The sequence below is a fragment of the Homo sapiens genome, chromosome 18 (genome assembly GCF_000001405.40).
Source record: "Homo sapiens chromosome 18, GRCh38.p14 Primary Assembly".
Taxonomy (NCBI): domain Eukaryota; kingdom Metazoa; phylum Chordata; class Mammalia; order Primates; family Hominidae; genus Homo; species Homo sapiens.
In genome coordinates this window covers 34,295,237-34,323,057 of record NC_000018.10, presented here as the reverse complement: position 1 = coordinate 34,323,057, position 27,821 = coordinate 34,295,237, and the positions used below count along the sequence as shown (strand labels likewise).

Below are 27,821 nucleotides of genomic sequence, written 5' to 3'. Positions count from 1 at the left end.
TAGAAATACGATGATAAAAAAAACAAGGCTATCACCAAACTTTCGAAAACACGCATGATCTTTATTATTAAGTTTTCTGGCTTTTGTCACGATGTACAATTTTTTTCTTGCAATACTTTCTCAGTCTGCAAACCCACTCTAAGCCCGCGTGCGTCCATAAAGACTGCACCACATGGTGGCGCTCTGGTTGTGCCTTAAGTGAAATCGCTAGCGTTTTCTTTTCAAGAAAAGGGTTGATCAAAAAATGAAGTTAAAAATAAAATTCACTACTCAGCTTTCCATGGTCCTAGAAAATAAATATTCTTTTTAATGTTTTCTCTACCTCCTCTCTGCGTCATTCTCCCTCTGGAAAACCTGCAGATGCCCTTTATTTTGGTTCATGCAGTTGGAGCCACCTGGACCCAAGAGTGAAGACCAGGTGGAACCTGTCCGGTTCTGAACAATAAGGAAACTGGTTTAATGATACTCCCAGAGCTTTCTTGTGGCCACCGTTCCCCTCTTGTCCATTCAGAACTCTTGTCATTCTCTCTATAAATGAATCACCGGGGAATTTTCAGCACACCCCAGCTTCCTGACCAACAGCTTGCTCACTTGCTGTAGCCATCTTGAAATAAAATGTACTACTGCGATAAAGAAAAACAAAGTTTAATGGGTAGAGTTCTTGTATGAGGCCATTTAAATTTAGACTCCCAATCTCCACAAAGCAAACAGTCCTGGGGTAGAGAATGCTCTGAAATAGCAGCGTCTTGTTTTGTGTTTTGCCTCCTGGGATCCTCTGTTTTTCCCTTGAGGGAAATTGCCTTAAGGTAGAGAAAGGTCCAGTTCTGCCTACCTGGAGAAAGGCTGACCTGGTGATTTATAGTACATAATTAACAGAAGGTACGTGTACACCGGGGGCCAGTGTACTATCTCAAACTGTGGATGAGAATGACATTTCAGCTGAGCTACATGAAGAGGAAATTATAAGTAGAATGCCTAAGAAGTATTTTTCAATATAAGAAACAACTATTAAATTATCTACTATTTTCTCTAATCATAGAGGTATATTAGATTTCTACTGTTATGTTACAAATTTCCATAACCTTAATGGCTTAAAAATATCCTTTTATGAGTTCACAGTTCCGTAGATCAGAAGTCTGGGAATGGCATGGTGGAATTCTGTGCTCAGATTATCACAGCGTTGACATCAAGATGCTTTCAAGCTCAATGTTTTTGCCAGGATTCATTTCCTTGTGGTCCTATGACTGAGGTCCACATTTTCCTGCTGTCAGCTAGGGGCCACTTTCAGCTCCTAGAAGCCACTCACAATTTCTTGCCATGTGGCTCCTATTGGAAATTCACAGCATAGCGTTGCTTCTTTCCAGGCCCAGAAGAACATGTGTTTCTGACTTCTTCCTCTGTGGCCTGCTTGAGAAAAATAAAAAATCTCTCTGCTTTTAAAGGGCTAATGAGACTGATTAGGTCAGGCCCACCCAGATAATCCCTCCGTTTCTTAAAATTAACTGGCATGGGTCCTTCAGTGGAACTGCAAGACCCCTTCACAGCGAATCCAGATTTGCATTTGATTGAATGACTGGGAGTAGGTGTGGATACCCCAGGGGTCAGCATACTATCTCAAAATAGTGGCTTTCTCATAACTTCATTCCCTTACCCCTGTTCTGATACCAGCATACAGCAAAGCTAAGGAGAGGTCCCCGGTTTACTCTGCCTGAGGAAGGGTTATGGTTTTAGTTCTTAGGCACTCTATTGGTCTGAGTCAGAGGATATAAAGTTAGAGCTGGAACAGACTTTAGAGATGGGTTCAATGTATCTGAGACTGTGAGGAGTTCAGAAACAGCTCAGGGTCACACAGAGGTTGATTGCTGTGGCCAACGCCTTCTACTTTCCCCTGCTAGCCTCTTCCAAGCAGCCAGTGCTGCTCCAAATGGGCTTGTCACCAGGCCCAGGGAACATGAATAAAATAACAATAATTTAGTAAGTTTTCAATAACATTATTCTTGATTTAAATAATCTTCCTTTATTATGTGATCATACTGCCTCCTTTCCCTTTTTTTTTTTTTTTGGTGATGGTGAGGAATGAGCTAGATAGAGCACAGAGAACTGATCTGTGCAGTTATTCCGTAATTCACTTTTTAGCTATAATTTTTTTTTATTTCCAGGTCAGAACTTGGTTGACAAATATGACATCATGTTCTTCAGAATGTGAGAGAATTCCTTTAAAACAGGAAAAAAGAAACCCACATTCAAAATAAAAATAGTATGAGACAACTATATCAAGTGTTTAGTCTGCTTTCTAGTTATTATTGTTCTTAAGAAAATTCCCTGTCTTTAAAATTTTCAATTTATTTTATACCCTCACCCCACCCCTGTATTAATTCCTGTAGTGGTGAAGAAATTTACCACTTAGAAAAGTCAAGTATTATCATTGAAACTCTAGTGACTATCAGGATGAGGCCATAAACCCCATGAATTTCTAATGTATTTTATAACTCTAGCTCCTGTCATGTTTGGAATATACCCTGTGCATGATAATTATTTTTCCTATGGGATTGGTAACTGTATTTGAAAAGACATTAAAAATGAGTGACAATGAAGAAAATGGATAAATATAGAAAAGCTATCATTTAGTGTCTGCCACTACGTGTCACAAGGCACTTTGATACAGTTTCTCTAATTCTCTCATCAACCTGCAAGGCAGATGGTATCGTCTTTACCCCACATATAGATAACAATTTTCAGAGAGATTAAATAACTTGGCCACAGTCAGAAATCTTGGAACTGGCAGAGATGATTTTCAATCTCAGGCTCTATAGTCCAGGTTCATTTTGCTACAGTGTGCATGACCATCCATTCTCCACTTTTGAGCCTGGGCATATATCTTTACCGCTGCATAAGGATAATAATTATATTCAGAGATGACAGATCATACTGTAGCCTACACCCCCTATACCTGGAATGGAGTGGTTCTAGTCTTGATTTTGTCAGTAAGTATGATGAACTTGGGTGAGTAACTTTGTTAAGTTTTCTGAGCCTCAGTTTCCTTGTCTGTACCTGTAAAACCGAGTAGTAGGATTAAACGATTCTCTTTGGTGTCTACTGACTTAAAAGGCTAGTGCCCTTACTTTTAGGTTAACTTTTCATATTTATTTGTGCATTGAATTGCTTATTTACTCACTCCTTTTGCTATTTATTTCTGTGGCTGTTACAATTGCCCCTGCTAATCTCAACATTATTGTGGCTACTACCAATATTAGTATGCTGCTGCAATCACATTTAGTGCCACGGTGACTGTCTCCAGTATCACTCTTAACTACAATTGTGTATATTCTCTTATTTGAATCCCCAAGTCTCTATAAAACAGTTATGATTGTCTTCATTTTACAACTGAGAATAAAAATGCTTGGAAGAATTTTTAGAAGGTACTTGAGGTCATATCACTAAACAGTGGTAGGTACAGAATTTAAAATTATCTTCAAAGCTCATGATCTTTACCACAACTACCAACATGACATTTATTAGATTCTCCTTATCCAATGTTTGCTTTAATAGAAAAATAATCTTTTAAACATGACTTAGAAAATAAATGGATTTTCCAAGAAGCTGGAGAGATACTGTGTTTATCTTGTGACTGCTCATGCTCCGTGGCACACAAGGGCATACCCCTGTGAGTATGCATGCACAAATTTGAGAAATTGAGGGAGAAGGATCTAATGCTGAAATTGCATTTATTGAAGAGATCTTTACTGGATTCTGTTCCGTGACAGGCGCTTTGCTAGGCACTGTAGATGCAAGATGAATAAGACACAATCCCTGCCCAGGGGTAGTGAGGGAATAGACTTAGTTTTTTGATAACCACACCACTGGCTTTCCAGTAGGAGCGGGGAGGCAGAAAGTTACCACTTAAGCTGTCTCCTGAAAAGGAACACTCTAAGAACTCTGTGTCACTGTCCTGTATTTCAGTGAAAGATGTGAAAAGCAGCATCTTCTAACTGGGCAAATATAGATGCTGTCCAGTTTGGTGAACAGCGATTTTTCTTTGAAATGGAAAGATTTGGCTTTGGGGCCTAATGTGGGAAAAGGATATAGAGGAAGCAATAGGAATGAACTGTCCCTGAGGCACTGAGGCGAGTTAGGCTGAAAATGATTATTTTCAGCAATGAAAATGAGCACAAACTCAGAAGCCCAGCAGCCTAAAACGGAGCATGGAAAGACAGATACCTCCTCTCCGTGACTGGCCAGGGAATTGTGTGTGTTTGTGGGTGCATGTGCCTGTGCGTAAGCGTGTCTCTGTGGGTACATTTCTGTGCATGTATGTGAGTGTGCACTTGTGCATACCTGTGCACATGTGTGCATGTGTGTCTCCTTGCACAAGTCTGTGCACTCAGCGCAGTGTGTCTCGTGTGCATGTCTGTGTATGTGTGTGTGATTGTGCACACACACACTAAGGAAGGGACTCTAGCAGGGTGTATTCTTGTTGATGCTGTAAGTAGATACCTATTTGCTCTTAATTTAGACTGGAGAAATACAGGAAAATCCTATCAGCTCTTAATTTAGAATGGAGAAATACAGGTTGTGGCCAGAATCTCTAATGTAAATTTTAAAGATTAACAATATATTTGCTATTTTTGCTATTTAATGATTCCAAAAACAACTTACAAAGCTGTAATTTTAGCCAATGAGATCCACACGGTATGTGGAGTGGGTTGGAGGTGAAAAGGGTTTATTTTCTGTTATTATCTATGCTTTCTATAATGCAGCCCTTTACGTCTCCTTATGCCCCATACTTGCCACAGAAATTGCTTCCTTTGTCTGAACTTGTTTACAACAGATGCCTTATTACAGCCTGGGTTTTAATTGTCCTTATGAACACTGAAAACAAAATGAAGGGAGAAAAAAACAACAACAACAAACAGTATCTATCTGCAAACATTTTTAAACCAGTGCTGGAGGAAATGAAAAATGTGTTTCAAAATTATTTTAGTTTGATAAGGAGCCTGGAAGACTGGTCTTTTCCCCAAGGGGTTAAGTCCCTGGGGCAGAGATAATGATGTCTATTTGTGTTTCTTATACACATAGAACTGTAGGATCTGTTGTCCTTCTCTCTAGCATATGATATCTGTTCAAGTGGGCTTCTGCTAAAACTCAGCTTTCATGTTTATTTCTGAAACTGACCGTAGTTCTTTTTCTGTCATCCAAAACAAAAATATTGAATTTCAGGTACTTGTTTGATAATAATGACATTCCATACCTAGAATGCCAGATACTTGTTTTTTTTTATAGGTTATTTTCATCTGTGCATATGAATGTGATGCTGTATTAAAAAGAAAGCAATAAATCTCTTCTTTTGTATATAATTATTTATAAAAGCAAAAACTAAATATAAATCTAAAGTCAGAAATTACCAAGCTTTGGACATCTAATTTTTAAAATAGTCTCTGGCTCTCAAAAGGCCATCTTTGTATACAGCTGGGATAGGCCTTTGCAAAGCCCTAGAGCAACTGAACTACAGGTCAGGGCAGCGGTGGCTGCTGCCATAGAGTAATCCAGCTTTTCCTGGGTAAAAAGTGCCTCTTTTAGCTCCCTAATCAGTAGCTTGAAGAATCCACTGATTAGAAAGAGCACTAGAACACCTCCCACATTCACTTTGCCTTTACAATGGACAGTGTTGAAGTAGCTTTACATCATGTAGCACTTAGTCTAATACTTCTGTTAAAATCAATATATTGAGGAAAGGAGGAGATGCTAAATATCTTGGCATCTCTGAGTACTAAGCACACTGTGTCCCTTGCAAATTCTGAAATATATTGGTATTAAAGTAACTCAGTGTGCAGGATGAAAAATGTCCTGGCAAGTGACAGCATGTGCCTGCAGACAAGGGGCTCTAATGAATAGGACATTAGAAGCCAATTGAGGACTACCTGACAGAGGGCTAGGGAGTAGGCAGGGGAAGACAGGAGGTCAGAAGACTCTGCTTTTAAAGCAAAATGGTGCATGGTGGAGCTTCCGCATAAGCAATTATGAAGAGGAGAGCAAATTAAACTTCAAAGAAGTATTTAAAACACAAAAAGGTGGGTGACTTCCACAGTAAGGAAGCTATCACAAAGGCAAGGGGAGAATGAGTCATTTAAAATTATTGACCATCAACAAAATCGTGGACAGTTTATGAAATTCCAGCTGGATGAAATATATCCTAAGAAACTATAGATTTATGATTGTGGGTGAATTATACACAGGGTCATGGGAGGGAATAGCATATTCAGGGAAATGGAAATAAGACAATGTTCCGGTCAGTGTTAGCTAAAGAGAAGCTTTCAAATGGGAGATAGGACTCAGGTTTTTCCTCTAATACCCCATCAGGATAACCACTCCCTTCCCATTTGAAGGAACTGGTGGGGTCCTTAAGTCCCACTGGTTAAGCTATAGAACTATATTTCCAGTGGACCTATATAATATGAAGATATGTGGACACTGGGGTAGGAAGTCATGGTGTCCTTGAATGTTAGAGCTGGAGGAAACTTTAAGAATCATCTCATTAAACCCTCTTAAATCATAGATGTGGAAACATGATCAACAAGATGAAAAGACCTGGCTAAAATCTACTCAACCAGGTAGTGGCAGAGCTGGTGGGATAATGGGTCTCCTGGAGATTGTTCTGGTCTCTTTGTCTCTCATTTTAAGTTTTTCCTATTCCTTTGAGACAAAGACAATGTCTCTTTTAGTGATCAATGAGATTGATTCTTTTAAAAAACCTTTCACACGTTTATCTAAATTCTAAACACAGAAAATACTCAAATACTCAAGTCCACCCCTCTCCGCTTCCTTTTCTTTTAGTTAGCAGCTCCCATGTGTCACATCATCCAAAACTGGGAGGTAGCATTTTGACCCTGAGAATGAATCCACCCACACTGTGGTTTCACACAATATGCGAAAAAGCAGTCAGTTGAATTAAACTTCATCCAGCAGGTGCTCCCGTAAGAATAGACTCATCCAATCTCCAAACCTATTTACTTAAATTTTACTTTGAGATATAAAACCATGACTTTTCACCAACGAGTTCATTTATTCTTTATTCATTTGAGAAAATCTGAGCTGCTTCCATGTGCTAAGCCATGTGCCACAGTAAACTGCAGAGACACAATTCCCATCCCTGACTAGAGCTTGCAGTTCAGCGGGGAGTCACTCCTATAAAGCCACAAGTGCATGTCAGTAACAAATGGTGATAAATGCTATGAAAGCTGATCAATTGTTTCTGCTACAGTATCTTTATTCATGCACTCACCACATAGTAACAAGCCTAAGCATGAATGGGAGGCCAGCTAGAAAGCTTAGATCCAAATAACTAAGATTCCAATTGCATCAGAAAGGTGTCATTTATAGTCTTTTTTTATGTGTCTCTCCTTGTTTGGCTGTTTAACCTGAGCACTTTTCAAAGCCTATTTTCTCTTTTCAAAGCCTCTAAAAGCACTTGTGTTATACAAGCCAGTCGACTTCACAGCCCTTATTACCATTGTCCTTGTACTGTTGAAGCACCTCAGCTATTAGAAAAGCCAACACTTCATCTTCCATTGCACTCAGTCCAATCCACCATCTATGAAAATCTTGGTAACTCTGATCTGCTTCAAGCCAGGGTATAATTTCACTGGTTTACAGATATAACACTCAGATCCAAACTGATCAATTGAGGTGGAAGCCAAGTCCCCTTGAAGAAGAATCCTGCAATGCTACTGCAAATATATACAATAATCATTTTACCCAATCTTCCCCCAAAGGAATCTTCAGCCATTTACCTGGAGAAGAGAAAATACTTAACAATTTGAGTGTTGTTAGACAATAGATCTGAACTGACACTCAAAAATCCAACAGTTCAACATGATTCAAGGGTTAGAGTAATTAGAGATCAGGAAATATACAAAGTTCTGGCTCAAGTCTCTGATGATGGGTTCATGAACCCACTCTAAGGTTATTTACTCATTTCCTGAGTATATGGTTGATGTGAATGTACTAAGCAGATAGCAGAGCCCTCACATTGGTTCACTGACCTGTGGAGTAATAACCATTATTGTAGGAAAGGCTAAGTAGACGTCCCGGAAACTATCTTACCTCTCGCCCAGATCCCAGCCCAGCCAAAACAGAAAATCACACCCCCGGTAAAACTGCAGAGATTAGAGCATTCTTAGTCTGCTTGGTCTGCTATAATAGAATACCAGAAATGGGACAGTTTATAAACAGCAAACATTTATTTCTCACAGTTCTGGAGGCTGCAAAGTCCAAGATTAAGGCGCCAGCAGGTTCAGTATCTGGTGAGGGCTGTTTCCTCATAGATGGCACCTTGTCCCATGTCCTCACCTGGCAAACAAGGCAAAGGAGCTCTCTCAGCTCTCTTTTGTAAGGGCACTAATACCGTTGATGAGGGTTCCGCATTGAACTGGCATTGTTTTCCAATCCTATTCATAAAGATGATCCAAAGCAGTTATATTATGTTGGGAGACTATGAAGGCTGTAGCCCCAGGGCTCCATTAACTCTCCTGATCATTGTCATGATATAATTATCATGGATCCTGATTAATTTCATATTTTGAATAATATTGCATCAGTCTACTATATTGATGAAATATGCTAATTGGACTTGGTGATCAAGAAGTGGCAAGTACTTTGTATTCCCTACTAAGGGAAAGTGGGAGAATAACACTGTGGAGATTTGGGAACCTGTGGTATCAGTAAGGATGTTAGGAGTCTAATGATCTGGGGCAGAGTAGCATTCCCTTTAAGGCAAAGAATTGTCGCCCATGTACTCCTACCCACAAAGAGACACGCCTCTTGGTGAGATTTTTTGAATCTTGGAGGCTACATGTAGTGTGCTTAGGATTACTGCTGTAACCAACATAATGGGCACCTTGGAATGCTGAGGCTTTTAGATGGGGCCCAGAGTAAGAGAGAACTCTGCAGTCAATCCATGTGACCAACACGTCAAAGGCTGTGTATAGTCTCTTTCTAGTACAAGAAGAGCCTTTGCACAGGGAGATGCCTGGAATCTTTAAGCAACATCCTGTAGTCTGTACCTTGTGAGTTAGAGAACTACTTGCCATTCGTAAAAGCAGTCTCTGCCATTCTCCTGGGCACTAGTAGAGGACAAGTGCCTGATGATGGAATATCAAGTTATTGTGTGACCAAAGCTTCCCACCCTAAACTGGGTGTTATCATGCTCACCAAGTAAGAAACATGAACAGTATAATAGCAATCTGCCCATAAGATGGAAATAGCACATATGAGTTCAGGCTCAGTGATGTCTAGAGGACATTATTAAGTAACATGAACAAGTGGTTTAGATTCCCATACCCCTTAATTCTGTTGCACGCTCTTCTCTCTCAGCTCACACGTATGGTCTTGTAGTGGGAAATGGATATTCTCTATCACCACCTAGCAGAAATAAAAGCCCAGGCATGGTTCACAAATGGATGGTTGTGTATGTTGCTTCTAGGTGAAAGTGGACTGCCACAATACTATTACCCCTCGGGATGGACGTATAAGAGTTCACACAAACATAAGGATCTCTATGGCATATGATATTGCTCACCAGAGAGCATCTGTGGTAGAGGAGACAATCAACAACTAGGGAGACAGGAGTACTTGTTCAGTGGCAACAAATTATTACATGAGACAAAGGGACACATTTTATAATTAATAAGGATAACAATGACTGCATGAACATAAGATCTACTAGTTCTGACATACACTATATGGCCTGAAAGTGGACAACCTCACTGAATGATAGAATGGTTTATAAAAGATACCATACAGGTGTCAATTTGGGGACAATGCCCTGTAGGGCAGGAATGCTACCTCCAGGATGTGGTATTCATACTGAGCCAATAGCTGACGTTAAGACACCATATTCCCAACAGCTTGAATGCACAGATCTGAGAAGCAAGGAGTAAAAGAAAGATTGGCCTCTCTCACTATATTCCCTGCTACCCACCTATGAAATCTGTGCTTTCTGTCTTAGCAATTTTAGTCCCTACTGAATAAAACTCTTAGTTCTTTGGGTGTGGGAGATACTTCCATTAAGGGACACAGTAAAGATTCCACTTAACCTAACTATCACTTGACCACTTTGGGCTCTTTCTGCTAGTGCGTCTGCACACAAAGAAAGGAGGTACGATATAGGCAGAAGTAATTGGAACTGATTACTATCAGAGCCAAGATTACTAATAGGAAATTGCTACTAGGAGCTCTTCTGCAACCCAGGGAATTCCCTGGAGTGTATCTTGGTGCTTCCATACATAGTGATAAAAGTAAATTGGCAGTGTCAAAAACGATACCCTAACAGATAAAACTACTAAGGGTTCTGAGACTCTGAAAATAAAAGTCTGACTTTCTCCATCAGCCAAGCAATTCAAACTCAAGGAAGATTCTGAAAAGGTAGTAAAATATTTGCATGCTTATATATTCTTGTCATTACCATGTTCAGATTATCCCACACTGGCTGTGCTCTAGTCCTCTAGCTTTTGCTTTGCCTTGTGTGGTCTTTTATTCTCCCCTATCCTAGATTTATTTTTCTTCCCAGGAAACCTCCACTATGTACTCTTATGATTTCCCCAAATGCTGGGCTCTAATATCTGTGTAAAAAGTGGAACCATTTTTGAAGGCAAATGAGATGACATTTGTATGCTTTCTTTCTTCATCTTCCACCCCAGAAGTTAATAAGAAACTGTGTAGCTATTTGAAAAGAAAAAAAGTGGTATATTCCGAGTGTTTTAGAATTTATTAATGTACAATATTTGAGTAATCATAAAGACTCTGTGACACTCCTAATTTGTGTATTAGTATAACCAGCTTACCCATGCTTCAGTATGATTACTAAAGTTTTATAGACACAGTATACTTCTCTATAAATTGATTATTCAGAAAGATTTGATTTTATTCTAGATGGATGTGCATTCATTCTAAATCAGTGAGTAGCAATTCAAAAGAGCTATCACTTGATTTTCAGTGTCAATCAGAATTCAGAAGACCAAAGCTATACATTCCACGTAGCTCCTGGTACTCATTAACAAGTTAATAGTATTATTTACATAGTATGTCAGAGAAAGAATAACATATTTTCCCCATTTCTCCTTTAGCAGCATTTGCACACATATATAGCATGTGTAATGATGTGTGTGGGGAAATCAATCTCATCCAATTAAGCTCCCCTTCAATAGTGTCTTTCAAGTGATGAATTCCAGAGGGTGTTGCAAACGGCTGATAAAATTAATGCTAAAAAATTCTACAAGAATGTAAGTCAAATAAAGTAACTCAAGATCAGATGTGAGGTATAAAATTGAAAAATGTATCACAGAATGAGCCTCATAGAGAGAGCTCCAAGAGGAAAGTGAGTGGAAAGATCCTATCTCAGAAATGTTTTAAGCTAATGGAATCAAAGATGCATCCAGTATCAGTGGACTTCAAGATATGTCATGTAATAGAAAACTTGAAGAAGACTCACTTTTTCTATGTCAGTATGTGAATTTTAAAATATAAAAGGCAATTTATTAAAACAATTTAACATCCTAACATTTTTGTAAGATATCAAAAGCAGTGCTCCTTAGAGATATTTTCTATATGTTAGTCTATTTTCCATAAAGAATCATAATATAGTTCAGTCCTAAGATTTATGAGCTCTGTTTTTACTTGATTGTTAAATTTAATTTTAGTTCAGGTATTTGAGAAATCTGTTTCTTCTTATCTGTCTCATAAACACAAACACACACACAAGCACTCACACAGTATTTTATGAGTAGCAATTATAGTTGGCCCTCTGTCTGCACAGGTGCCACATCCACAGATTCAAACAACTGCAGATCAAAAATAAATGGAAAAAATTTAAATAACCATACAACGATAAAAATAATACAAATAAAAATACATTCTAACAACTATTTACATTGCATTAGGTATTATACCTAATCTACAGATGATTTCAACTACACAGGAGGTTGTTGGTAGGTCATATGCAAATACTATGCCATTTTATATTAGGGTCTTGAGCATCCCAGGCTTTGGTATGCATGGAGGTCTTGGAACCAGTCATCCACAGATACCAAGGGATGACTGCCCAGTTTCATATTCACACAATTATTAGATTACTATTTTTCTTGACTTAGACCTATAGACATAGTAACATTTTTATAAACAGTATTAAAATCAATAAAAAGAATTTGAATATTTTCATGAAATTTAACACATCTTTTGACTTAGTAACATTGTCAAGAGATTAAAACATTCTGAAGTGTCAAATGTATTTTTCTTTAATTTTTTTTGAATGACAGTAATGACCAATATCCTCTATTCTTCAAATACCAAGCAACCCTCAAAAGATATCTACATAAATGCCCACATGTGAAAAGCATGGTTTTAATTCTGATAGATTATTTTTGAAGTATCATTCTTACAATGTGAGAAAAATACTTAATAAAAGGTATTAAAATCAAAAGCTGTTTAAATATGACTTTCATAAATGAGTAAATAGAAACTTTAAGAGAAAATGAAATATTCATGGTTTATGAGTCTATCTCCAAGGCAAGCTTAAGGTTTTACTGAGAACCCAAACTCTAACATCTTTATGTTTCCAACACCCAACCTAATGCCTAATGTAGAGCAGTGTTTAATGACTGAATGTGGAATAAAAGAATACATAGGTGTCACACCTGTAATCCCAGTACTTTCAGAGGCTGAGGCAGGAGGATAACCTGAGGTCAGAATTTCAAGACCAGCCTGGCCAACACGGCCAGATGCTGTCTCTACTAAAAATACAAAAATTAGCTGGGCGTGGTGGCAGGCACCTGTAATCCCAGCTACTTACGAGGCTGAGGCAGGGGAATTGCTTGAACCAAGGAGGCGGAGGTTTCCATGAGCTGAGATCATGCCATTGCACTCCAGCCTGGGCAACAAGAGCGAAACTCCATCTCAAAAAAAAAAAAAAGAAATAAAAAAGAACACATAGGTGTAATAATCTACAAATTATCCTCTCCGTGTCCACCATTATTTCCATTTTGAGGGAAATTATTTATTTTTGGACACTTCTTCCAAAATATGAGACTTCTTCCTTGGCTCAGACAGGCAATTCATTGTTTGAATAACATGAATCCATAATGCTTGTATACACAGAAACATAATAATGCCTCATGAACCTAGAAGCCAATCTTCATGTAACTTAAAAGCATGTAGAAAGCCTGAGCCAGAAAAACAGACACTGGTAGGATGGACAGCTTCTGGAAAACGTTGTTGAAGAAGCTTCCGAGACTGTGTCTGACATAAAGCCACTGGCTAGTTCACTGACCAGAAAAAAACAAGTTTGATTTTAAAGCCAAGTTGCTGGTGTGCAAGCCAAGGTGATGGAAGAAATGGAAGAAATAAAGAGAAAAAAAATAAGTGAACACAACAAAGGGAACAGATCAGCAAGGAGCAGCAGCAATAGCAGCAAGATGGTGGCAGTAAAGGAAATGAAAAAAAAAAAAAAAAAGGAAGGCAAATTGTAATGGCAGTATGGTACTCACCTTTGTTTTTCCCAAGGGCATCACTGTGCCACAGTTAAGACTGTAGGAACTCAGGCGGAAAAAAACAACAACAAGACTGTAGGTATGCAAATGGTTTCATATATGTCTATAGAAAGCATTTAGAGAGAAGGCAAGCTAAATTTCACTCATTTTTATTGTCTCAAAGCACATCAATATTCAAGTAGTGTCATGCTTAAGGCAACCCAACAGCTGTCTGTGGCCCATTCACTATTGTTAGATAAGAGTTCACTTTAATAGGGTAGAGTGCTGATGTCAGTGCTGCAGTAGACAGTTATCAGGTGATGCATATAAACTGTCCTACACCATGATTCAAAACTTCCCCATTGCCAGCAAACATCTCTCTTTGTACTCAGTGCAAATTGAAGAACCAAAGGATTTTGCATGCAAACGCTCTTGACTGAGCTGTGTGAGACACAATATTAGAAGGCTAGGTGTAACTGTTTTTTTTTTTAAACAAACAAACAAAAAACAAAAAACAGAACGCCATGAAGTTACAAAACAATTTTACCGCTTTCCCCTTTTGAAAACTGCCTAGTCCCATAAATAGTTTTTTTTTTTTAAATGTTGATGATGTTGGCCTATTTTGGCAAAGCTTTCTAAATTCTAGCCCAGCCAGTGGATCAAGTGCCTGAGGGTATAAGAAGAATAAAAAAAGCCAAACTGCTATCATATGTGCAAATATTTCAGGCTTCTACAAAATCAAACTCCTAATGATGGAAAAATTCCACTGTCTAGAGTTTTCATAGGTGTCACAATTTCTATATTACTTCTAGAGTGTAAGCTGTTTCATAAAGGAACAGAGAATTTGTTCAATTTCCTTCACAATGTATTTATTTGTTTTCACACTGCTATAAAGAAAACTACCTGAGACTGGGTAATTATAAAGGAAAGAGGTTTGTTTAATTGACTCACAGTTCTGCAGGCTTAACAGGAAGCATGGCTAGTAGGCCTCAGAAAACTTACAATCATGGTGGAAGGTGAAGGGGAAGCAACCACGTCTTACATGGTGGCAGGTGAGAGAGGAAGCGAAGGGGGAAGAGCTTCTTATAAAACCATTAGATCTTGTGAGAACTCACTATTATGAGAACAGCATGGGGGAAACTGCCCGCATGATTCAATCACCTCCCACCAGGTCCCTCTCTCAACACCTGGGGATCACAATTTGAGATAAGCTTTGGGTGGGGACAAAAAGCCAGGCCATACCAATAATAATATTCTTGACTTTATTTCTGATCCCAGACCAAGAGTGAACAAGAATGAGCTGACCCCAGAGAAAGGGCAGAGGAGATTATGCCAGTTAAGGTTTTAGTATTGAAAGCCATATTCTGGGAAGCTTTCGGTCTTGGGCAAATCAGGATGGTTGCTCACACTAGCTCCTAGTATATTTTCTTTCTTTTTTCCAGGAGCTATTTGCAGATGTGCATCAGAAACCTGAGAAGTAGGGCAATGCTGTTGATAAAACCTAAGGAGCATAACCAAAAGAAAGGACTTGATAGTATTTTAGATGATGTAGGGTTGTGGTTCTCAACCTTGGCTGTGCATTGACATCACCTGGGGAGCTTTAAAAACTACTAGTACCTGTGTCCTAACACCAGAAATCTTGATGTAATTGTTCTGGGATGTGGGCTCTACAAGTTCCCCAGGTGAATCTAATGTGTAGCCAAGGTTGAGAACTACTGACATGGCGACATTTAAGTGTTTTCTCTATTTCCTGTGTTAAGTCTCCAACTTTAATATATATTTTTCATTTTTTACTTTAAATTTTTTATTTTTTAATTTTTGTAGGTACATAGTAGGTGTATATATTTATGGGGTACATGGGATATTTGATACAGGCATGCAATGTGTAGTAATCACATCTGGGTACATGGGGTATCCATCACCTCAAGCATTTATCCTTTGAGTTAAAAACAAAATTATACTCTTAGTTATTTTTAAATGTACAATTAAACTATTGTTGACTATAGTCACCCTGTTATGCTAGAACATACTAGATCTTATTCATTCTTTCTAACTATTTTTTAGACCCATTAACTGTTTCCCCAACACCCCAAACCCACTGCCCTTCCCAGCCTCTGGTAACCATCCTTCTACATTCTGTCTCTATGAGTTTAATTGTCCTAATATTTAGTTCCCACAAATAAGTGAGAAGATGAGAAGTTTTTCCTTCTGTGCCTGGCTTATTTCACTTATCATAATGATCTCACATTCTAACCATGTGGTTGCAAATGATGGAATCTCATTCTTTTTTACGGCTGAATAGTACCATTGTATATATGAACCCCATTTTGTTCATTCATCTGTTGATAAACACTTAGGGTACTTCCAAATCTTGGCTGTAAGTGGTATTGCAATAAACATGGGAATGTAGACATCTCTTCAATATACTATTTTCTTTTTTGTGGGGGAGAGGGTGGGCATATACCTAGCAGCGGGATTGCTGGATCATATGGTAGCTCTATTTTTAGTGTTTTGTGGAACCTCCAAATTTCTCCATAGTGATTGTACTAACATTCCCACCAACAGAGTATGAGGGTTCCCTTTTCTCCACATCTCACCAGCATTTATTATTACCCATTTTAGAATAAAAATTACCTTAAGTGAGGTGAGATGATATCTCATTACAGTTTTGATTTGCATTACTCTGATAATCACTGATTTTGAACACCTTTTTATAAACCTGTTTGCCATTTGTATTGTCTTATTTTGAGAAATGTCTATTCAGACCTTTTGCTCATTTATTAATCTGATTATTAGATTTTTTCCTATAGAGTCGTTTGGGCTCCTTAAACATTCTTGTTATTAACCCCTTGTCAGATAGGGCCTTTGCAAATATTTTCTCCTATTCCGTGGGTTGTCTCTTCACTTTGTTGATTGATTACTTTTTTGTGCAGAAGCCTTTTTAAATTGAAGTGATCCTATTTGTTCATTTTTGCTTTGGTTGCCTTTGCTTGTGGGGTATTACTCAAGAAATCTTTGCTCACTCCAATGTCCTGGAGACTTTCCCCATTGTTTGTACTTAGTAATTTTATAGTTTGAAGCCTTATATTTAAGTCTTTATTTCATTTTGATTTTATTGTTGTACATGGAAAGAGATAGGGATCTAGTTTCATTCTTCTGCATATGAATATACAGTTTTTCCAGTACCATTTATTGAAGAGATTGTCTTTTCCCCAGTGTATATTCTTGTCACCTTTGTCAAAAATGAGTTTGCCGTAGGTGTAGGTGTACAGAATTGTTTCTGGGTTCTCTATTCCATTCCAGTGGTTTATGTGTCTGTTTCTATGCCAGTACCATGCTGTTTTGCTTATTACAACTCTATAGTATGATTTGAAGTCTGGTAATATGATTCCCACAGTTTTGTTCTTTTTGCTCAACATAGGTTTGGCTATTCTGGGTCTTTTGTGGTGTCATATAAATTCTAGGATAGGTTTTTCTATTTACGTGAAGAATGTTATTGGTATTTTGATAGGGATTGCATTAAATATGTAGATTGCTTTGCTTACTATAGGCATTTTAACAATATTGTTTCTTCCAATCCATGAACATGGAATATCTTTCCATTTTTGGTGTTCTCTTCAATTTCTTTTATCAGTGTTTCATCAGTGTTTTATACTTTGCCCTTTATTTCTTCAATTTATTTTATCAGTGTTTTATAGTTTTTATTGAAGAGATCTTTCACTTCTTTGGTTAATTTACAGGTATTTTATTTGCAGATATTTTAAATGGGATTACTTTCTTGATTTCTTGTTCAGATTGTTTGCCACTTGCATATTGAAATGTGACTAATTTTTGTATGCTGATTTTGTATCCCACAACGTTACTGAATTTGTTTATTAGTTCTAAGAGTTTTTGGTGGAGTCCTTAGGTTTTTCCAAATACAAGATTATGTCATCTACAAACAAAGATAATTTGACTTCTTCCATTCCAGTTTGGATGTCCTTTATTTCTTCTCTCCTCTGAGTTTTATAGCTAGGATTTCCAGTACTATGTTGAATAACAGTGGTGACAGTGGTCATCCTTGTCATGTCCCAGATATTAGTAAAAAGGGTTTCAGTTTTTCCCAATTCAGGATGATACTAGCTGTGGGTCTGTCATATATGGCTTGTATTATGTTGAGGTATATTCCTTTTATACCCAGTTTTTTTAGGGTTTTTTCATGAAGTGATTTCGCATTTTGTCAAATGCTTTTACAGCATCAATTGAAATGATCATATGTTTTTTGTCTTTCATTGTGTTGATATGATGTATCTCATTGATTAATTTGTGTATGTTGAATCATCCTTGCATCCCTGGGATAAATCCCCCTTAGTTATGATGAATGCCTTTTTAATGTGTTGTTGAATTCAGTTTGCTAGTATTTTTTTGAGAACTTTTGCCACAATATTCATCACAGATACTGGCCTGCAGTTTTCTTTTCCGTTTCTTTCTTTCTTTTTTTTCTTTTCTTTTTTCCCTTTTTTTTTTTTTTTTTTTTTTTATGTCTTTGTCTAGTTTGGGCATCAGGGTAATATTTGGCCTTGTAGAGTGAGTTTTTAAGTACTCCTTCCTCTTCTATTTTTTGAAATATTTTCAGTAGGATTGGTGTTAGTTCTTTAAATGTTTGGTAAAATTCAGCGTGAAGCCATTGGGTCTTGGGGTTTTTTATGCTGGAAGACCTTTTATTGCAACTTCAATCTTGTTATTTGTTGTTGGTCTGTTCAGAGTTTGGGTTGCTTCATGTTTCAATCTTGGTAGGTTGTATGTGTCTAGGAATTATCCATTTCTTCTAGGTTTTCTAATTTATTGGCATATGTTTGTTCTTAGTAGCCATTAATGATCCTTTGAATTTCTGTGCTAGCTATTATAATGTCCCCCTTTTCATTTCTTATTTTATTTATTTGGGTCTTCTCTCTTTTTTTCTTAGTGTAGGTACAGGTTTGCCAATTTTTTTTCTTTTCAACACACCAACTTTTCATTTCATTGATGTTTTGGATTGTTTTCTTTGTTTCAATTTAATTTATTTCTGCTTTGATATTTATTCTTTCTTTTCTTCTCCTAAATTTGGGTTTGGTTTGCTCTTGCTTTTCTAGTTATTTAAGATGCATCATTAGGTTATTTGAAGTTTTTTTTCTCTTACGATGTGGGCACTTGTATCTATTAACTTCCCTTTTAGTACTGCTTTTGTTGCATCTCATAGTTTTTGGAATGTTGTGTTTTCATTATCATTTGTTTAAATTTTTTTTCCAATTTCCTTCTTAATTGCTTCATTGACCCACTGGTTATTCATAAACTTACAGTTTAATTTCCATGTGTTTGTATAGTTTCCAAAATTCATCTTATTATTGATTTTTAGTTATATTCCATTGTCGTCAGAGAAGAAATCTGATATTATTTCAATATTTTAAAGACTGTTTTAAGACTTGTTTCATGACTGAGCATATGGTCTATTCTTGAGAATGTCCCAAGAACTGAGAAGAAATATGTGTATTCTACAGCTATTGGATGAAATGTTCTGTAAATATCTGTTAGATCTATTTGGTCTATAGTGCAGATAGAGTTCATTGTTGCTTTGTTGATTTTTTGTTAGGAAGTTCTGTCCAGTGTTGAAAGTGGAGTGTTAAATTCTCCAACTATTATTGTATTGGGGTCCATCTCTGTCTTTAGCTCTAATAATATTTTCTTTATGTCTATGGGTGCTCCAGTGCTGAGTGCATATATATTTATAATTGTTATATTCTTTTCCTGAATTGACCTCTTTATCATTATGTAGTGTCTTTTTTGTCTCTTCTTATAGTTTTTGCTTTGAAATATATTTTGTCTGATATAAGCGTAGCTACTTCTGCTGTTTTGAAATTTCCATTGGCATGAAATATCTTCTTTAATCCCTTTATTTTCAGTTTGTGTGTCTTTATAGGTGATGTGTATTCCTTGTAGGCAACAGATTATTGGGTCTTGTTCTTGTATTCATTCAGCCACTCTATGTCTTTTGATTGGAGATTTAGTCCATTTACATTTAGTTATTATTAATAAGTAAGGACTTTTCCTCCTGCCATATTATTACTTGTTTTCTGGTTGTTTTGTGGTTTGTCTTCCTCCTTTCCTTCAATCCTATCTTCCTTTTAGTGGAGGTGATTTTCTCTGGTGATATAGAATTTAATTTCTTGCTTTTTATTTTTTATGCATCCATTGTATGTTTTTTGGTTGGTGATTACCATGAGGCTTGTAAATACTACATTATAACCCATGATTTTAAATTGATGACAACTGAACACAGATTGTGTAAACAAACAAACAAGTAAAAAGAAAACTAATAAAAACTCTTCTCACTTCATCCTCCTTTTTACCTTTTATTCTGTTTATATCTTATTGTACTGTCTCTGCCTTATAAAGTTGTTTTAGTTATTATTTTTGGTTGATTCATCATTTAGTCATTCTACTTAAGAGTAGTTTACCCACCACAATTACAGTGTTGTAATAGTCTATGTCTTTCCACGTACTTACTATTACCAGTGAGTTTTGTACCCTGAGATGATTTCTTATTGCTCGTTAACATTCCTTTCCTTCCGATTGAATAACTCCCTTTAGCATTTCTTATAAGATGCAGCTAGTGTTGATGAAATCCATCAGCTCTTGTTGATGAAATCCATCAGCTCCCAAACAAGGGAATTCAAACATTCCCTCATGTTTGAAGGATATTTTCACTGGATATATTATTCTAGGGTAAATTTTTTTTTTCCTCCAGCACTTTAAGTTGTCATACCACTCTCTCATGGCCTTTAAGGTTTGCTCTGAAAAGTGTGCTGCCAGATATATTGGAGCTCCATTGTATGGCACTTGCTTCCTTTCTCTTGCTGCTTTTCCTTTCTTTATTCTTGACCTTTAAGAGTTTGGTTATTAAAAGCCTTTAAGTATTCTTTGGGTTAAACCTGCTTGTTGTTCCATAAACTACTTGTACTTAAATATTTATATCTTTCTTTAGGATTGGGAAGTTATCTGTTATCCCTTTGAGTAAATTTCCTACCACTATCTCTTTCTCTATTTCCTTTTTAAGGTCAATAACTTAGATTTTCCCTTTTGAAGTTATTTTCTAGATCTTGTAGGTATGTTTTATTCTTTATCTTTTGTCTCTTGTGACTGTGTATTTTCAAGCAGCCTGTCTTCAAGCTCACTAATACTACCTTCTGCTTGATCAATTCTGCTGATGGGAGACTCTGATTCATTCTTCAGGTTCAGAATTTCTGCTTGATTCTCTTTAATTATTTCAATCTCTTTGTTAAATTTATCTGATAGAATTTTGAATTCCTCCTCTGTATTATCTGAAATTTCTTTGAGTTTCCTTGAAACAGCTATTTTGAATTCTTTATCTGAAAGGTCACATATCTCTGCTTCTCCACGATCAGCCTCTGGTTCCTTATTTAGTTCATTTGGTAAGGTCTTGTTTTCTAAGCGGTCTTGATGCTTGTGGATGTTGATCAGAGTCTGAGCATTGAAGTGTTAGGTATTTATTGTAGTCTTCCCAGTCTGGGCTTGCTTATACCCGTCCTTCTTGGAAAGGCTTTCCAAGTATTCAAAGGGTCTTGGGCATTGTGGTATAAGTTGTATATGCATTAGGGGCACTGCAAGCCCAGTAATGCTGTGATTTTTTTCCAGACACATGGAGGTACTGCCATGGTGGCCTTAGATAATATCTGGAAAAATTATACGGATTACCAGATTATTACCAGAGATTATTGTTCTCTTCCCTGACTTTCTCCCAAACTCTGTGCTGAGCCACCTCGAACTTGGGGTGGTTGGACACATGCACCCCTGTAGCCAGCACCACTTGGACTATGCTAGATCAGTCTTAAAGCTAGTACAGAACTGAATATGGCCCAAGGCCCCCTGTAACCACTATCTGGCTACTGCCTATGTTTGCTCAAAGATCTAGGACTCTACAATCAGCAAGTGGCAAAACCAGCCAGTCTTATGTCCTCTCTTTCAGAGTGACAAGTTCCCCCAGGCCCCACATGTGCACAGAGATGCTATTTGGGAGCCAGGGACTGGAGTCTAACACCTTAGGACTCTACCTGGTACTCTATTCTATTGTAGCTAAGCTGGCACGCAAACCACAATACAAAGTCCTTCCTGCTTTTCCCTCCCCTTTTCACAGTCAGAGGAGACTTTACCCATGGCCACCACTATCACAGATCATGGTTAGGGGGTACTGCCAGGCTACTGCCAATGTTCACTTAATGCCCAAAGATTCTTCACTCAGTTTGTGGTGAATGCTTCCAGGCCTTGGATTCACCGTTCATGGCAGTGGGCTCCCCTCTGGCCCAGGGCAGGTCCATAAATGTCATCTAAGAGCCAAGGCCTAAAATTAAAGACCCTAAGAGCTCATACGGTGCTCTATTCCACTATGGCTGAGCTCATACCTGAAGCCAGCATGTCTCAAAATCTCACTGAAAGCCCATGGCTTACTATCTGCAAGTATTGCTGCTTGCTCTTCAGGGTACAAGAGCTCTTCAGTCAGCAGGTGATGAATCTTGCCAGGATTGCACCCTTCCTTTAAGGCAGTAGGTTCCCTTCTAGCCCATGGTATGTCTAGATATGTTATGCATGAACTAAGCCCTGGAATCTGGGCCTTATAAGTCTGTCTGGCACCCTATCCTACTGTGGCTGAGCTGGTATCCAAGATGCTAGACAAAGACCCCTTTACTTTTCCTTTTGCTTTTCTCAAGCAGAAGGAGTCTCTCCTCGCAGACCCCACAGCTGTGAATATGCTGGGACTCATCTGAAGCTGGTCCATTTCAGAGTCTCATCCAAGGTCTACAGTGTACTACCTGGGTATTGCTGTTTGTTATTTAGGGCCCAAGGGCCTGAGTATCACTGTTTGTTATTTAGGGCCCAAGGGCTCTTAATCAGCAGGTGATGAATCCTGCCAGGCCTGGGTTTTTCATTTCAAGGAAGTAGGTTTCCTTCTGGACCAGGATGTGTCTAGATATGTTGTCTAGGAGCTAGGACCTGGAATAGGGACCTCGTAACTCTGCCTTATGCCTCTTCTACTGTAGCTAAATTGGTATCCAAGATGCAAGAAAAAATCTTCTTTACTATTTCCTCTCCTCTTCTCAAGCAAAATGAAGGAATGCTGCCTGGGCTTGTGGAAGGGTGCAACCACTCCCTTGGCTGCCCTCACTGGTGTCTCTGTAGGTCTCATGTCCCCTTGTCCACTGGCTCTGAGCTCAGCTCAGTGCTAGAAGTTGCCTATGAATTGTAGTTCTTGTGGCCTAGACTGCTTTTCAAGTTTATATGCAGCTCCAGAGCAGTTTAGCCTGTGGTGGCCAAGGCTCCCCAAAACTCAAGTTCCACCTGCTGGGATGGGCTATTCCCCTCTGGCTAGGGCTGTTCCAATTGTTCCCTCCGTGGGCAGGCATTGGCTGAGTTCAGCAGTTTTACTTTCTGCTGTGACAGGACAGCGCTAAGTTCAAAGCAGCGTGCTATAATTGCAGTTCTCTCTCTCTCTAACAAATGCATAGATTCTCTGTGACATGCAGCTGCTGCCAGGGGATGGGGGATTTTGTCAGTGATACAAAACTGTCTTTCCTACCCTCTTCAGTGCCTCTTTCAGTGATATGATGTTAAAGTCAGGTACTGTAATAGGTCACCTGATTTTTGGTTCTCATGAAGGTGCTTTTTTGTATAGACAGTTGTTGAATTTGGTGTTCCCATGGTGGGGATGATCAGTGAAAGATTCTATTCTACCATCTTTCTCTGGCCTTCTGTATCCAACATGAATATATTTTGAGTTAATGATACTGAGTCCTATTTAATACCAATTAGTGACATAATATTTAAAGTTCACCTTATTTAATATCAATGATCACATGAAATAGCCTGTGAAAAAGATTAACATGAACTGGTTTAACAGAGTTCTCATTTTATCTTCAATTTTTGAAGTATGTATTTAGTTATTAATCTGATTAATTGCAACCAAAGAATTTAAATTATGCATTTTTACAATTAAGCCTTTTAAAAATATGACCCTTTTATATTTCACATGTAATAGTTAACAATCTTAATTTTTTAAAGAACAGTTCCAGTCCCAAATGACTAATTTTTCCTTTCAGAAAATTCATAATCTCTACTTAACCTATTAATTACTCAACAATGAGAGTTATTGAGTAGTTTGACATTCATAATATTTAACAGCCAGTAAGGGGCAAGAATTGACCAATTACCGAAAGCTTACATTTGAGCAGGATCCTGAGTAAACCCTAATGGGACAGAAATAAACCATTAATTGCTGAATCAAAATGTGGTGCTGGGGGACCACAACCATGTCTGAAATTGATACTGGGGGGTTTTGCACAATGTTATTTAGCTAGCCAGAAGTATCTAAGTATTTAACAATTGATATTGCTTTCCAAATATACATTTGCTAAATCCTAACCCAATAAATGGTTAATCACAATTTTTATTTAAAAAGTCCACAATAAAAAATTTCAGTAGTGAAGCCAATGATAGAGGATATCAATCCAATGCTTCATTCACTATGTTAAACAATTTTGTAGCTACCATTTTGTTTTGCAATGGGGAAAGCGGGGAAAGCATATAATCTTTCAGTTCAGACCTGGCTATTAATTCCAGCTTTGCCACTTATCTTGAGTAAAGTGCCTTTTTTAAACAACGTTCCCATCATTGTTTATGTTTTATGAGGATTAAATGAAGGCAGGAATCTAGAATCTTATTACATATTTAATGAATAGTAGCTATATTTATTATAATAGTGAAGATTTTCCAGCTTCTATTGAGATATTTTTATTGCTCACTATACTGCTATTCATCTCTAGCTGCCAGAAAGTTGCACCTTATTACAGTAGATTGTACTTTTTTTGTTCAAAGTATTCATTATTCTTCCCCATGAAAGGAGTATTTATCTTCACCCATTTAATATCAAGTGTTACCATATGAGTTGCTTCGGCCAGTAAAGTATGAACGAATGTGCCATGTGCCACTTTCAGAGAATAGCTTGAAGTGTCAAAATTCAAGTCTGCCTTTAAACATTTTCTCCTTACAAGATTATCAATGTCTCAGATAGAAGCTTCTTGGCTGGCCTGGGTACCAGGATGAAGAACACATGGAGCAGACTAATTTACAGTGGATATATACTATGAGTGAAACTTGTAATTTCATTTTTGTAAGCCACTGAGATTTAAACTTACAGATTACTATAACACAGCATTGCCTATTATTTTTGATATGAAAATTGGTACCTAGGAGTGGGGTGCTTCCATAAGAAGAAGTTTAAATTTCGTGACTTTGGTTGCAAGATCTGGCAGTAGGTGGCAAGAAAACTGTGTTTAGAGGCTGGAAATACGTCAACTCACAGTATGCAGAGAAAATACCTTTGGTAAAACAATCCACTGGCATAACTTAGGAAGCAGATAATGTAGTGAAAGAACCTGTGCTTTAAGAATGGGTAGGGGAAATAATACTGGTTGTGTGCTTTGGTCATTTGAAATAATCATTTGAAATACTCTACAAGAAAAAGATGACCTTTAGAAAGAATTTGCCACATTGAATATGAGGATGAAAGAAAACATGAACAGGCCACAAATTCTAGAACTTTGCATGTTAGAAGATTCGACTTTTTCTGATGTCTAGCAAGTTTGGGTGTGGCTGCCAGGCCTTTTGTTAAAAACTTTATATTGATTCAGATAGCACCCAGCTAATGTTTTTAGTTGAAGAAAATGTCTCAGAACAAAGAGACTAAAGAATTGACTCTCCAATGGACTACTAAGCTTATAATTAAGTCTAGAAAGAGCCATCTCTTGAAAAGAACTGTTGGTGTGGGTATTGGCACATGGAACAAATTCAAATAAATTAAAAGTTATTGTTTTCAAAGAGTGTTACTGCCAAAGGAATACCATCTTGGATAAAAATTGACAGTAATTGTTTGAGCCTTAAACTAACCTCAGGTCCCCAGTCTTCTCTGGGAACAAAACAAGCTGAGAAAGCTGCTTATTACTCATAGCTGTGGCCTATTCAGATGTGGCCAAGAGGGGAAAGGAAGGACCTCCCAGAGGGCAGAATGAAGTGTTATACAAAACAATGGACCAGGAAGCTACTCTCCAAAACAAAAACTAAGGTCTAATCAAGGAACAATTTTCACCCTGAGAATAGAGGGCTCCTACAACATGTGTACCTCAAGATTTCAGAATTATTCTGACCCAAAGACTGCTATATGCCTCCCATTCCCCCCTCTTCCATATAAGAGCATTAACTATGATCACCCTGTACTGTTTGTTGGGTGTCAGAGGAGAATAGGAAGAATAGGGCAGATGGCTTGTCCTTTTAGTTAATAGGTCTTCAGCTTAAGCAGAATGGATGAATAAGTTGAGGTATATTCATTAAAAAAAAAAAAACTTCACAGCAATGGAAAATAACCATTGCTAAAACTCAACAAAATGGGTAACTCTTATAATATTGTTAGGTCAAACAAAATTCCAAAGAATACATGCTATATAATTTCATTTACCTAAAATTTCAAAAAACAAGCCAAACTAACATACAGTGATGAAAGTCAGAATAACAATTTCCTTTGGAGGACTGCTGACTTATAGAGCAAGTATGAGAGAGTCACTTGGGTGTTTAAAAAGTTTTATGTCTCCATTTGGGTTTGTTTACATGCATATAGATGTATGTACAATTCAAGCTGCACACTTAAATCTTGTACACTGTACCATATGTAAAATATGTCTCAATGATTTTTTTAAAGCTGTGTATATTTTTCTTGTCCTTTTCTCCCCTAAGCTTCACGTCATTTAGAGGTTCAGTCTTGTTGAAATTCTTCCTATAAGTTCACCAAAACTTTTTATTTTACTTTGACGTTTTTGCAACATTTTCATCGTTGTTTCTATCTATTTAATATGAGTTCATCTTAATGCTCCAAATGCAATATCTCTGGTTTCCTTAGACATGCACGCTTGTTTCCCTTATATTGGAACTAATTCTTCATGTCAGAATTTTATTTTAGAGAGTATAATCACTCTTCTGTTTTAATTTCTTTCTCTTTGCCCATAAGACCACATATATAATTTTTTTTTCCTTTGATTTGGGACTCTCTTTTCCTAAAACTTTTATTTAAACAGACTGATAAGCAGCATTGTTTCTCTATATCATCACGAACTCCAGTGTGATATTGTAATTTTTCTCCAGTAATTATTTCACTTCCCCATTATCAGCCAATTCACTCTAATTGGATTCAATTATTTGCAGCATGGATAAAGATAAAGAGATCAAAGGGTAGATCTAGCTGTGTGAAGCCCTAAACCAAGCCTGTTCTTATAGGGTGTCCTTACATGGTAGGAGGCTTATGCCCTGGGGAAGATTCATCTGGTGAATCTAAGGAACTATACTACTGGGTGCCAGAGCCAATTTTATAGTGAGTACTGCATGACTGAATGAGCATACTACAGAAGTGGGAATCATCCTTAATATCACCTCAAAGAAAACACTCAGCTGTGCAGAAGTCTGCACCACCAGTAATGGAGGCTACCAGAGCAGAAGTCCCAGTGTCTGAGAAAAAACAGCAATCATGATATTCCAACATGAAAGCAGCAGCAAAACCCTAGTGTTTATGCATTGTATGTATTCAGCTATGACACAGACCTCCATCTTTGGTGGCAGAGAAAGACAGTCAGTGGGAGCACATTCTAGGGTAACCAGACCTGGCAATGGTTCAGGAGTTCACCAGGCTGAAGGGTTGCATTTGAGTTTCATTTCCAGGGATAAAGTGAAAACAAATTGAGTTGGACTTTTGAATACAAGTAAGACTCCTGAGGGATTTTTTTTGGACATATGTGAATGCTAGACAAAGGACATAAAGAGGAGAGGACACATTTTCTGCTCAATTGTAAATTGAACCTTCTGAGTTACATAAATAATTTTGGGCATATTAATAATTATAGGCTGGGCATGGTGACTCGTACCTGTAACCCCAGCAGTTTGGGAGGCTGAGGCAGAAGGATCACTTGAGGCCAGGTGTATTAGTCCATTTTCACACTGCTGATATACCCGAGACATACCCGAGACATGGGTAATTTATAAAGATATACTGAGACATACCCGAGACTGGGTAATTTATAAAGAAAAAGAGGTTTAATGGATTCACAGTTCCACAAGACTGGGGAGGCCTCACAATCATGGCGGAAGGCAAAAGGCACATCTTACATGGTGGCAGGCAAGAGAGAATGAGAGCCAAGTGAAAGGGGCAACCCCTTATAAAACCATCAGAACTCATGA

The 27,821-nt window shown here is 37.7% G+C and overlaps 1 long non-coding RNA gene across 1 annotated transcript in view, besides 1 other annotated feature; it reads left to right on the top strand.

Moving 5' to 3' along the window:
- The window catches only part of LOC124904280 (uncharacterized), a 62,122-nt gene that overhangs the window by 8,492 nt on the left and 25,809 nt on the right, over positions 1-27,821 (top strand). The gene's annotated exons all lie outside the window — the stretch shown is intronic.
- Positions 585-644: an enhancer, noted in NCBI's record as "active region_13214". NCBI's record gives its function as "activates an Ori minimal core promoter by ATAC-STARR-seq in GM12878 lymphoblastoid cells {active_cell/tissue: GM12878}" and the evidence as "EXISTENCE:reporter gene assay evidence [ECO:0000049][PMID:35858748]".